We start from the raw sequence: 14,134 nt of genomic DNA, 5'->3' as shown, positions 1-14,134 counted from the left end.
GAACACGACCTGGTGCTGTTCCTACTTTCATATGAATCACTCAAACTTTCTACTGCCTGCTCTATCAAATGAGGGGTTAATATGTATTAGATTCTAAGCTTCAAAGGGGATCAATATGAAGGCAAACTTTTTAAAGTGTGACCTATTATCCACAACTAACCATACTGCAAAGCGCAAGGGCATGACCCTCCACAAGCACATTCTTACTTCTCAAACAAACTCCAAGTTTGGGTTTCCCAAAACCACCCTCAGGCTTGAAAATTCACTGGGACTCATGGAATTCATGAAAAGCTATTACACTCATGGTTATAGCTTATTACAGAAGAAGAATATATGTTAAACATCATCTGAAGAAGAGATGCCTGAGGCTGTACCCAGGAGGCTTCCAAATGTGCAGCTTCTCCTGCCTGTTCCCTGCGGAATCAGGATGCATTGACCTCTGAGCATAAGTATGCAGCAGTATTCAGGATTGTCAGCCAGGGAAGACTGCCCGGGTTTCTGTGTCCAGAGTTATTACTGAGGCTTCACTATGTAGGCACGACTCATTGATTAATTGCCCATATGGTTGAACTCACTCTTCAGGTCAACTGACGTCATGTAAACCAAAGCTCCCACCATAAATAACATGGTTGGTCTTTCTGGCATGACCCAACTTCGCACTAAGATTGTTAGATGTAGTTAGCCTCGCCCTGAAATCCAACTGTGGCCAGCTCCTGCTGTAAACGAAGATATAAGTATGGCAAAGATTCTCCTCCCAGAAACCAAGCACAAAGTCCAGGCATTTCTGAGGTTGGAGCCAAATTCTTTACTACACATCTGTAAACAAAATATATTTCCAAAGATATTTATAAAAAGAAGTATTTCTGGACCTAAAATATTATGGAGAATGAAAGTGACAAAAAATAGGCCGAGCGAATGTAGGTTGCCATGGATAGGTGTTGAAGGAAAACTAGAAAGACTCACCAGTGAGTGGGATTGAATGGCGTTCACTTGAGAAGTTGAATGGTGGCTTTCCCACGTACTCCTCTGCTACGCACATATTTAGAGAGCCTGTTGTGTGTCTGGCACAGTGCTATGCCTGTGTGGAGTAGAGATAGGTTGAATCATAGTACTCAGAGCTTCTGATTGAATGTGCATGGATGAGAAGATGAATATCACATAACACATGAATAATGTAAAATTTCACTTATAATAAGGTCTTTTAGGGAACACTTCATAGCACTATGAAGGTGTGGAGTAGAAGAAGGGATTGATGTCGTTATACTTTAATTCTGCTTCCACTGCTGAAACTGACTTCAACCAACTCGCCAAATCCATTTGTAAAATATATAGATTTACATTGTCACGATAAACCTGATCCTACTGGAGCATTCTACAGAAACAAAAATGCAACATGCAAGTCATGTTATTTCCCGATAACATTAGAAGAAATGATTCAGTGCTTTTAAATCCTAAATAAGTTATACAGGAGTGTAACATCCAAAGTTATTTTGAAAATGTAATCTGATTTATGGACTATTTTATTTGGGGTATTACGAACAGAAAAAAAAAAAGTTCTCCTGAAGATTATAACAGCATTAAATACATAGAAAAAGGTAATGTTTTAAATAGGCCTTCGAGAACTTGGTGAAAATTATTAATTTAAGACTACTCGTGAAAGTAGTCCATTTATGCAGTTAACACCTTGCTCTATGCACTTTTATTCAAAATTAAGTAGGCCTTCCATTTCTACAAATGGTTGGAATTATTATCTAAAGATAGAGTAGTAGTTTTATATGGCTTAAATGAAACATAGATTAAAAACTGATTTAAAAGGTAAGAAACAGCATAGAATTCATTTTAAATCATTGTTATAAAACCAAGGTCAAGCATGAAATATTTTAAGCATTTTTCTCAAAAGAAGAGCCTTTGAAGTTTTTATTCATATTAATGAAATCCTGAGGGTTTGATAAGGCCCATCCTCATTCTGTGGACTTTATCAAAGCAAAATATTATATAACTTTTACTTTGAATTATGATTTTAAAGAATGGAAATAGAGAGTCAAAAAATTACTTAATTGACAAAAAGCCTCCATTTCTACCTCTAGTGAGAGATAGCTAAGATCGAAGTGATTTGACTATGTTATTAAAATTCAATTGGACAGTCACAAATTGCTATCTTTACAGACACAACCATCAACACATAATCACTAATTTTTCCAAGAACACATGTGCAGAGCAATCTTGTGCAGAGACCGCACCATGCCGAACAATTTTATACAGAGAAGTCACCATGCAGTGTAGGCTTTATTTGATTGGCTGGAAGCCAAAGCCTGGTCAATTTTAAGGACGGAAGCAATCCCTGTTACATATCACGTAATCTCTCACTCAGCAAAGGTAACTCTAGGTATTTTATAAAAGAATAAGCTCTTTTCTACTCTGGCCTGGTGTTGTATCCTTTTCCCCCATTGCATCTCTCTTCACATTTTTACCTATAGAAGCTCTGTCAAAAACTGTCTTTGTAAATGGATCATCACACCTGGTATTTGAAGATTATGAAGAATCTAAGAAGTGTATTAAAATTCCACTCATTCGGACCATCTGTGTCCCCACCCTCTGCTCTGTGAACTCCACCTGGCCCCACCACAAACCTCACGTCTACACAGCGTAGAAACAGAACAGGTGTGGAAGACGACTCTGCCATTTCCAGTGGAGTAATATTAAGCAAATCATCTACTATTTCTGGACTTAGGTATCCTCATATATATAGGTGGGATATTTGTCCAGAAGTTCTCCAAGGTCCCATCTGGCTTGGATTTACCATCACAGTTTTTGTTTTTCACTTGTTATTCCAAATATAGGCCAATCTCTTTAAATCTTAGGAGCTTTGTTTGTGTAGTTTTGTTTAACTTGCCAGGTCTTTCTCACCTCCCTAATTAGGAAAAACCCTCCTAATGCTAAAGGCCCAGTTTAAAGATTACTCCATTTGTAAATATTGCTTGTAACTCTACCACCTAGGTTGTATCAATTAATTACTCCCTCCTGTACAACTTTGGCACTTTTTTCATGAAGCCCATGTAATTATCCCATCATTTTACACTAACTTCGTAGACAACTTTGTCTTAGTTACTTTTATGACTAAAGAGCTGTGTCTTAGTCATTTTTAATTTTTTTTTTCCTGAAGTAAGTGTGGGATATACAAGAAGCCCTCGATATATATTTCTAATCATTGCCATGCCATTACAAAAATTTCTCTGTGCAAATAAAAAAAATTCCAAATTCTACTTGATTCTTTGTACCTGTCAGGATAGCTAGGCTACACTGTGGTAGCAAACCACCTCCAGTCTGAGTAGTTACAAGTGTTCATTTCATGACTCATGTCCATGCTGGATCTGCTGTGGCTCAGTTGCCTGTTCTGTTAACTTTGGGCCCCAGCCTGAGGGAGTAGCCTGTATCTGTAATATGCTCAGTCTCCTTCAGAGACAAAGACACCATGGCAAAGGAAACACAGGCTTTGAAAGATTTTTGAGGAAACAGCATACCCTATCTTCCCAGCTTTCACTGGCCATGTGGGCACTTAGGAGTTCCCTGGGGTGCAAACGTTTACTGCTGCTGCAGGGAGGGGCACCATAGAAAAGGACTATAAAATATGGCAAATTAGAATACAGTCTGCCATACTCAGGCCCCAGTGCCGCATGATGTGGACAGTCGTTGCATTTATTACGTGATTTCCATTTGATCCTCATGCAGTTCTCCTCCTCACCAATTAAGAACTCATAGGGCAGCATGTTAGGAGTAGTATGTATTCGTCTGTTCTTGCATTGCTATAAAGAAGTAGCAGAAACTGGGTAATTTATAAAGAAAAGAGGTTTAATTGGCTCACGGTTCTGCGGGCTGTACAGGAAGCATAGCAGCTTCTGGGGCAGCCTCAAGAAACTTACAATCATGGCGGAAGATGAAGCGGAAGCAGGTGTGTCTTACATGGGCCAAGTAGGAAGAAGAGAGAGAGCAGGTGCTACACAAACAGCTTTTATGAGAACTCTATCATGAGAACAGCACTGGGAGGATGGTGCTAAACCATTACAAACCACCTCCACAATCCAGTCACCTCCCACCAAGCCCCGTCTCCAGCACTGGGAATTACATTTTAATACGAGATTTAGGTGGGAACACAGATCCAAACCATTCCACAGTATGATGTGAATGACATAAAAGTTTGGTAATGTTTGTCTAGATATAAAAAACAAAAAAAAATTGATTAATACTGACAGATATCATGAAACTCAGTAGTAGGGAGATGCTTCTGGGATTCAATATTTATCTCACCCGTACAGATTTGGCAATGCAAGTATAAAGCAAGAAAATAAGACAATGTTTCCAAAGTGTCATAATAAATGCAGTTGAACTCTAAATCAAAGATGTTTACGTAATACCCTACTAGTAAAAATTCTACAGAAAGCTTGTCTTTACTCAGAAAGTCAGCAGACTCTAGGATTTCACATCGCATGACCCATGAAAATGAAATTTTCTCAGTAGAAGAAAATGGTTACGCTGTTATATGGTAAATAACAGTTATGATTAATGAAGTCAGGAAAATTAAATTCATGTTTCAAGCAGTAAACTGTCATAGGAATTAGCATACTCAGTCATCTGGCATTGTACCAACTGAAACTCAGTTAATCAGTATTTCTGTTAAACTCATTAATGCCTACAGTGGCAACATGGCGATTAAAAAACAAGTTTTTTGACATATGAGCTTATATCTTCATAACTAGCACATTTCACCATGAAAATAGAATTTCTGATATTTAAACTTTTTTGTTTTTTATAGAATATGCTTTTATTTTTGTTGTTTTTATTTTGTTCTGTTGTTCAGACTAGCAAATTAAAATTAGGATGTGAGTGTATTTCCTTCTGGATGAAAAAATATAGATAATTTTTAATGCCTCAAGTTTAAATTGCAAAGACAGATTTTTGTATGCAATATAGTAAAAATCTATGGTTATTTCTTCTTTTACAAAATAGCTGTCGCAGCCTTGTCCATTAGTTTTAATAATACATCTTTGTTATATTGAAAGTAATTTGTCTTAATTAGAAACATTATGAAAATAGAGAGTACAGAAAAATATTTAAAACCATAGCTTCAAGAGTAGTAGGTAAATACTCTTGATATTTTGGGGTATTCTCATTTCTCTCAAGCTCTCTGCATATGCATGTTTTTGTGTTTATTTCCGAATGTGTATGGCTGTATGGATTACTGGGCCTGGACATTTGTGTGTATGTATGCTATGTTTTTCCATTGAGCATCACGTTCTCAACATTGTTACATGTTAGAAATGCTTTGCGAGTGAATTGTAATGTCCATATAATATTTTACTCTGAAATGGATTAGAATTGATTTAACAATTCCCTGTTTTTGTTATGTTTAGTAATATTATAATCAACAGCTCGATATGAATTTTGATCACCACTTCTTAATCGATCTTTTTTTTTTCTTTTTTACCCCCTCTGGAGTTTCTCTTACTCATTTCCCCCGCTGTCTCATCTTCCCGACTCCCTTCTCGCCCACTCTCCATCCCCCTCTCTTCCACATTGTCCAGATTCTATATCATAAGGCCTGACAATGGAGCTACCAGATTTAGGAATCTCCTTGGGTGAGGGAGTTCCAGTGCAGGGAGATAGAAAAGCTAAGTAAGCAGAAATGAAACTGCCCATAACCCGTGCAGTTAAGCCACTATGCCTGTATTATCTGTATCTCAAAAGTTAATACAGCTATAACGTGTGCCAAGTAATTTTGAAGTTGTACTGTTTGGATATTCTTAAACAGTAGCATTAAAAAGTCACTGAAAATATGATACTTTAATTCATTATCTGTGTTCTTAAAATCAAAAGGAAAAGAATTTATCTGAAAAAAGACTACAAAATAAAAAGGGCAGTGCACACTACTAAAATTTCACCTTACAAGAATTATTGATCATATTTTGGAGTTAAATGTATTACTCCTGAGATTTTAAGAAAGTTTCACATGTTTTAAGTGTTCCCAAAGCATGAGAATTGGTCCATTTCCAAGACGTGTTTTTTTTTTTTTATTATTATTATACTTTAATAGAGTTTATATATATAAGTATAATATATAACTATATAAAGTATAATGTAATTTTTCTTTAGTATATTATATGCTAAATATAATATACATATACTTTAGTATATTATATTTAATATATTTATAATATTTTATATGTTATGTATCATATATTAAATATATAAATATATTGACATGATATATTTAATATATTAATATATTATACTTTAATATATTAATATATTATACTTTAATGTATTAATATATTAAAGTATAATATATTAATATATTAAAGTATAATATATTAAGTTTTAGGGTACATGTGCACAATGTGCAGGTTTGTTACATATGTATACATGTGCCATGTTGGTGTGCTGCACCCAGTAACTCGTCATTTAGCATTAGGTATATCTCCTAATGCTGTCCTTCCCTGCTCCCCCCACCCCGAGGTGGTTTCTTTACTGAGGCTTATCCAACTGCACACTGCCACCTTCTACACTAGGGAAGATGGTCCTTCGGAGGAGCATTGCTCACAGGGGCACAAGGTCTCCTTCTTTTTTCATAAGTGCCTTCTTTTTTATTTAACTTATTTTTTTCATAATCACTTTCTTACATAAATATTGATTGAGCATCTTCTAGTAACAAGGCAGTCATATTGATGCTTGAGAAGTGTCTGTGAACAACGTAGACAAAGATCCTTGCCTTCACAGAGTTTACCATTTCCTGGGAGTAAATAAGAAAATACATTTTTAAAGTAAATTATAGAGCGTGCTATACCAATGCATTACATTACATAACAATACCTTTTTAAAGTAAATTGTGGAGCATGTTATGAAATAATAAGTGTCAGGTGAGAAGAAAAATTGATCAGGGTATGAAGATCACAAAGAAAACTCACAGCTTTCTCCTGAGCCTCAGGAATGAATCCCCAAAAGGAAGAACCAACAAAGAAGACTGAAAACATGCAATCGTGAAGGAAGGGAAGCAGCATCTCAGAGGAGTGTCCTTGAAGCCAAGGGACGCGGGCTCAGCCACCTGCTGCCACTGCTGCTTTTGGATCAAGAATGATGAGGTCAGGGTGGCAGGCATTGGATGGAGTGACGTGGGTTGCTCGACTGATGACATGAGGACGGGAGATGTAGTTGGATGTTGGGGACGAGGTGATGTCAAGTCAAGAACACTCTTGGGGAGCCTTGCCATAAAGCGGTGCAAATAAATGGAGCAATATTTAGTGAGGAAGGTGGGATCAAGATAAAATATTTTAAAATGAGAGAAATAGGAACCTGCGTGGATGCTGGAGGGATTGATTCTGCTGAGAGGAATCCCTGGTGGGTTACAGAAAGCGGAGAATTGTTGAAGCGTGCGCTTGGAGGAGACAGAAGAGGCTGGAATGGATCCTACAAACCTGTGCAGCGGGAGATGCAGACGCTTACCTGACCCTCCATCTCTCCCGTCCCTCACAGCCTCCAAAGGCTCCTCCCCACCCCCATCACCATTCATCTTGGCCTGCCTCAGTTTCCCCTTGGTCACTTTGATGAAGCCAGGATTCTGCTTTTGTGAATGCTGAGATAGCTGACACGAGTAAGTCCTCTACTCCATCCCTCCTCCCACCTTCCTCAATCCCTAACACCATCTACTATGTTTTCTGGAATTTATCGTCAACTGTCAGCATCTTCTATATCCCAGCTTATTCTCTGAATGCAGCCCTGCAGCCCTACCCTCTTCCCGACGTCTTGACCAGCAGCACAGGGGAGTGTGGTTCACTGTACATGCTCATCCACTTGGCTGGGAGTAGAGAGGGTGTCCCTTATCCTGCACTGCTTCCTTCGGGCCATTCTCCCTTGCTCCCTACAAACCCCACCTCTGATTCTGGGGCAGGAGTTCGCTGCATCCACTGCCTACAGGATGGTTACCACCTCCCCACATCTGGTGCATGTTCCTGCGCCTCCATTCCCAGTCCTTGAATTTAGGGACATACTCTCCGTACTTCCACTAGATTCTTGTAGAATCAAGTATTCTTATAGAGTATTTGTATCGATGGTTTTTGCAACAACCTGAGCCTCTGTTTCTTGAATTCCTTTTCTGCAAAGATCTCCTCCAGTCTGCCTCAACCATTCTTATTTTTCATACAGGTCCAGGGAACTTGTCCTCACCGGTGATTGCAGCCCCTCCATGCTCTCAGTTTTATGAATTATTCTCTCTAACCTGCTATCTCTCTAGCTCACATATTCTTCAATGCTCAGGCCCCCAGTACTTCTACCCCGCCAGAATCTCTGATCCATGGAGCCCACTGGCTTTGCATGGCCATGTCTGCTCCCACCCGACCCTCCTGGCGCCCTCAGTCTCTCATCCTTAGAACCACGTGTTCTACTCACACCTGACTTGTGGTCACTTCCTTATACATTCCCTCTTCATTCCTCACCTTCTTGTTCTCTCTCTTTCCTTTAATTATTTATCTTCTGCTTTTTTCTCTTTTCTTCTGCTATTCACCCTTTTCTTTGTTTCTTATTGTCTATCACCTAAAGCTTAAGTTAGCAATGGATGTTTTTTTCTCCAGTGAAAGTAGAGACAACCCTGCCCTCCCTTGGCCTGCAGCAGGGAGTTGCTGCTCAAGGTGCAGAGGCTCACCTTTCAGGGACCACCTGATCAAACAGAGCCAAAAAGTCTCAAGACACTAGGTCTTTCTTTTTGTACTTTTTCCCTTGAGATAATTGATGAGTAGAAGTGCAATACTCAGCACTGAGAAATTGGTAGTGCTACATATGTCCATGCCAAAAGAGATAACAAAAGTGGTTCAGGGATGGCCATTTGGGGAATGGATGGGCTATCAAGTTGGAATTTCCCACTTTTATGTGTGTAATGTCAATATGAAAAGACCAGTCCCTAAAGACTTTGTGTTGCCCTGATATGCACCCTTGTCTAGATGCAAATTCATTATTTCAAATATTCTACCTTCTAGCATAATGAGCAGGCTCATGCTTTGAAAACTGATATCATAATATATCCTGTCACAAATTAGCTCCTCAGAAATCTTATTTTACATGGAAAACAATTCATCTTTAATGATATCTAGAATTATACCTAAATAGATTTGAAATATTCCTTCTACATTCATTTCTACAAATTGTTATGTGAGCATCACTGCAGGAAAAACACATAGATATTTATCTAAGCTGAAGCACTTATTATACTCATCTGTTATTTTATATAACAACAAGTTAAAAGAAGTAATTCTTATTTCTTTTAAATTAGAAAACTTTAAACTCTGTTTCCTGTGATAATAATGCTGAAATAAATTCTTTCTTGAGTCTGTAGAGTATCTATCATTTTTTATCCTTCAGTAACTTTTGAGCTTTGTTCCTTTGACTGGACTTTCACACACTACTAAGGCACACCCCTGTGATGTGTATAAATGCGAATTTCAATTTTTTTATTGTTTTATTTTTTTATGTTTATTTATATTTATTTTTTGAGACAGAGTCGCACTCTGTCACCCAGGCTGGAGTGCAGTGGTGCGATCTTGGCTCACCTCAACCTCCGCCCCCCAGGTTCAAGTTATTCTCCTGCCTCAGCTTCCTAAGTAGCTGGGAAAACAGGTGAGAGCCATCATGCCCGGCTAATTTTTGTATCCATAATAGAGATGGGGTTTTGCCATGTTGGCCAAGCCGGTCTTGAACTCTTGACCTCAAGTTATCTGCCTGCCTCAGCCTTCCAAAATGCTGGAATTAAAGGCCTGAGCCACCATGCCAGGCTTAATGCGAATTTTGAGGAGTTGAATTCAGTGTCAGTGCTTACAGGACAAAGAGAAAAGGCAAGGATAGTAGAAAGAGTCAGGGGTGAGACCCTATGGAAAACAAAGCTATTGAAACCAAAATAGAGAACACTGTGCACATATTGATTCTATCTTTGGACTTACCTATTGGTTTTTTATTCTTTTGTTTGGAGCCTTTGATATAAAGAAAAGTGTAAACAGTCTCAAAATTTGCCTATACAGCAGACACTTGAAATTCATAAGGGATATGCCCTAAGAATGGCGACATCGCCCAAATGTATCAAAAAGATATACTCTTTGCTGGGTGCAGTGGCTCATGCCTGTAATCCCAACACTTTGAGAGGCTGAGGCTGGTGGATCACCTGAGGTCAGAAGTTTGAGACCAACATCGTGAAACTAAAAATACACAAATTAGCCGAGCATGGTAGTGGGTGCCTGTAATTCCCAGCTACTTGGGAGGCTGAGGCTGGAGAATTGCTTGAACTGGGAGGTGGAGGTTGCAGGAAGCTGAGATTGCGCCACTGTACTACAGCCTGGGCGACAGAGCGAGACTCCATCACAAAAACAAAAACCAAACAAAAAAAGATATACTCTGTCTCACAATATCATCTTTAAAAACATATCATTTCTCAAAAGATATTTGTACAAGAGCTTCATAAAGATTGAGTTTACACCCTGTGTTTCCTGTGCCGATCCTGATTTCAGCAGTTGACAACATCACTAAAATCGACCCCTCCCTGGGGACTTCGACCTTGTTCCCCAGGTAGGCTCCAGCAGACAGGCCCAGGAATCACTGTTCTTTTCCCATGTGGAGCATTAGCTGAACTCATTTGAATTGCAGATACCAATTTCTGCTGAAGTCGTCATTCTAACCGTCGAGCTACTCATTTACTCATTTATTTGATGGATTCCAATTCAGATGTAACTAAAAGGAGTAACCGCCAGAAGGAGCAGGGTTACTTTCTGACATTTAAGCAAGGACTCCCTTTCGTCCGTCCTTCCTTGGCGCCTGTGATGGCAGCTGCGGGTAGTGGACCCCACCTCTCTCCACTTCATCTCCCCAAATTCTGGTGCAGAAACTTCCTTCCCAGTCCGCCCTGTATCTTTGTCTGTGCACATTCACATGCACCCGTGTTCCTGTGGTTTTGTTTCGTTTTATTCCTCTTTTCCATCATTTTCTCATCAACCATTCCCAGGTTGATTTTTCATTCAAACTAAGTTAATGTCATCGTTTAAGACACCTCCATTTATCATCCTAGGCTTCCTTGTCTTTCAGTGTAACTTTCTGTTACAAAAGTATCCCTTCAACTGTTAAATGGAATCTTGTATATTGAGGGCCAAAACTGCATGCCACTAAGTTTAAGTTTATATGAGCAGAGAACCTTCTGTATGAAAGTCCATTATTATAAGATTAACTAGGAGTATATTTTTGCAATAGTATATACATATATATATCATATATATATGATATATGTATATGATATCTAGATATGTATCTTCTTTATATCACTCTTTAGCATTTCTGGACTGAAAAAAATGTGTGCTTTATAAACATCCTTTCATAAAGTACCACTTTTTCTTTAAAATCGCTGCTAATCATTTTTTTCTACAGTACTAAATATTTGACAATTATAATTAGACACATGTAGTTCAGGACCACCTAAAAGACCATTGCATTTTCAGAGATCAGATCACACAGATGGTGCAAGGAGCATAATAGGATCTGAAATGAAAAATCTGGCTTTAAAATTAAATTCCATCTATTCTCTGCACTTTAGAACAGTGAGGGAAATTGAGCAGTTCAAAGTACATATTTACAAGGAGCAGCACAAAGGTGAAATTAAAGTGGTATTGAGTAAATTAAGTAACTTCTCAGGCTTTTGCTATAAAATCGGAAAGTATAAATCCAGATCAATTAACTGAATTAAGTACTCAGAGAACTTAAGTAACTATTAGTTGAAATAACTCCTAATTGTGTTTTAAAAAACACCAACTATGCCTAGAGAAGGCTGAGAAAAAAAATGAGTCTTTTTCTAGTTACTCTCTTTAATAAGATTGCTCCTTTTGATGTGGTGATCTCTGTTGTTAGTGGGATCGCAGTAGAATGAGCTCCCCTGTTGGGCAGAACACTTGGGTCCAGCTGAGGATTTGCAGGTATTAAGGGCAGGATCAATGTCCTGACAACTTCTGATTGTTCCTGACATTGGCTTTTGCCTGTAAAAAATGCCAACTTCTCATCCACCACATACAGCAGTCACAGCAAAAATAAATTCAATATGAGCACTAAGTAAGTATATATATTTAGAGAGAGAGAGAGAGAGAGAAATATCACCAGGATGGTAAGAAGATTAGACAAAATAAAAACATGTGTCAGGAAAGAAGTGCCCCATCCAAGATACACAGAATAGAGATGAATAAATAAATAATAAATAAAAATCATTGGTTGTTTTGAAGCCAAGAAAATATGCACTTACCTTTATTTATAAGGAGAGAAAACGGATAGAGTTGAAAAGTCAGACTAGCTATAGGGAGCGCATAATGGGAGCAAATACATCTAAATCAGTCAAGATGAGGTTTGATGTGCAATTATTGGCACCCAACTATATTTCCTAATCACTTATGATAAAAAGGAACATATGGAGCTGGAACTGCAGTGTCAGGGATTGAGACTTGCTATAAGGAAGCATTCTGTATTAGTTTTTCCATGGCTGAGTAGCAAATGACCAGAAATGCAGCAGCTGAAGGCAGTGCATCCGTGTTTTCTCGGGGCTCCATCGGTCTGGAATCAAGGACCCCTTACCCCAGTCTTCTCTCAGGGCCTCAAGAAGCAGCAGTCAAGGACTCCTTCAGTCTGTGATCTCACCTTAGGCTGGAATTATCTTCCATACTCATATTGATGTTGGCGGAACTCAGCTCCTTGCAAGTATAGGGCTGAGATGCTCAGGACCCCAAAACTGCCCACTGCTCGCAGCCAACTGTCCCTCCCCACACTGGGCAGTGCCTTCCGGGAGGCCAGCAGGAGGGGACCACTTCTGCTTCCTTCTCTGACTTGGAACACTTTTAAGGGTTCCTCTAAGTAGGTCAGGTTCTCCCAAATCAACTGCCTTTGGATTAACTTAAAAATCAACTGATTAGGGACCTTTCTACATCTGCAAAATGTCTTCACCTTTGCCCTGTAATGTAACATAATGGTAAGAGTGACACCGCGCCACCTGTAAGGTTCAGGCATTATTGGTTAAAAGCCAGTCACAGGTCCTGCCCACTTGCAAGAGGAGGAGACCTCAGGAGCATGGAGGTCCTCTTAGGATCCTGCCTTCCCCCACCCTGGAAGGGCTTCTAAACCTGAGACTAGATTGCTAAGAGGCATCATCTGATCTGCTGTGGATCTGGAAAATTCATATTTAAAAAGTAAATCCTGGGGCCAGGCGCAGTGGCTCACGGCTGTAATCACAGCACTTTGGGAGGCCAGGGCGGGTGGATCACCTAAGGTCAGGAGTTTGAGACCAGCTTGGCCAACATGATGAAACCCTGTCTGCACTAAATATACAAAAAATTAGCCAGACGTGGTGGCAGGCACCTGTAATCCCAGCTACTTGGGAGGCTGAGACAGGAGAATCGCTAGAACCAGAGAGGCAGAGGTTGCAGTGAGTCGAGGTTGCAGTGAGTCAAGGTTGCACCACTGCACTCCAGCCTGGGCGACAGAGAGAAACTCCATCTCAAACTAAATAAATAATTAAATAAATCCTTAGGCTAAAGAAATAAGGTGAGTTAATGATAATAACTGCTAATGTTTGTGAATATTTATTTTAAATGTCAACTTAATCTAAAGTCAAACATTTCATATGCTCTAGCCCAATTAATCCACCCACCATTCCTGTGAAATACTTTCTATGCTTATCTGAGTTTCACACGTGAAAAAACTGAGAGGAAGGTTATTTTGAGTAACTGTCATCTTCTTGATCAGTTGGGGCTAATCAAAACTTACATATGTTTATCTATTTCACATGTAGAGTCATGCACCACATAAAGACATTTTAATCAGCTATGGACCATGTAAATAAAGGTGGTTGGATAAGATTCTCATGGAGCTGGAATATTCCTATCACCTATTGACATGGTAGCGATCATAATGCCATAGCGTGGTGCATTGTGGACGTATCTGTGATGATGCTGGTGGCAACAAACGTATAGTGTGTTATATAAAAGCCTAGCACATACACTTATGTACCATGCATAATGCTTGATCCTGATCATAAACAACCATGGTACTGGTTTATATAATTACTATACTTTTTATTATA

General features: G+C 39.0%; 1 protein-coding gene across 3 annotated transcripts in view, besides 1 other annotated feature; it reads left to right on the top strand.

The window, feature by feature from the left end:
- CSMD1 (CUB and Sushi multiple domains 1) overlaps positions 1 to 14,134 on the top strand; it is a 2,059,554-nt gene that overhangs the window by 1,134,688 nt on the left and 910,732 nt on the right. The window lies entirely within an intron of this gene.
- Positions 11,540 to 12,312: an enhancer, noted in NCBI's record as "OCT4-NANOG hESC enhancer chr8:3705437-3706209 (GRCh37/hg19 assembly coordinates)". NCBI's record gives its function as "activates a minimal SCP1, AML or CMV promoter by ChIP-STARR-seq in naive H9 embryonic stem cells {active_cell/tissue: H9 hESC(naive)}" and the evidence as "EXISTENCE:reporter gene assay evidence [ECO:0000049][PMID:30033119]".

This window comes from Homo sapiens, chromosome 8, assembly GCF_000001405.40.
Source record: "Homo sapiens chromosome 8, GRCh38.p14 Primary Assembly".
Taxonomy (NCBI): domain Eukaryota; kingdom Metazoa; phylum Chordata; class Mammalia; order Primates; family Hominidae; genus Homo; species Homo sapiens.
This window is presented reverse-complemented; position numbering and strand designations above follow the sequence as displayed.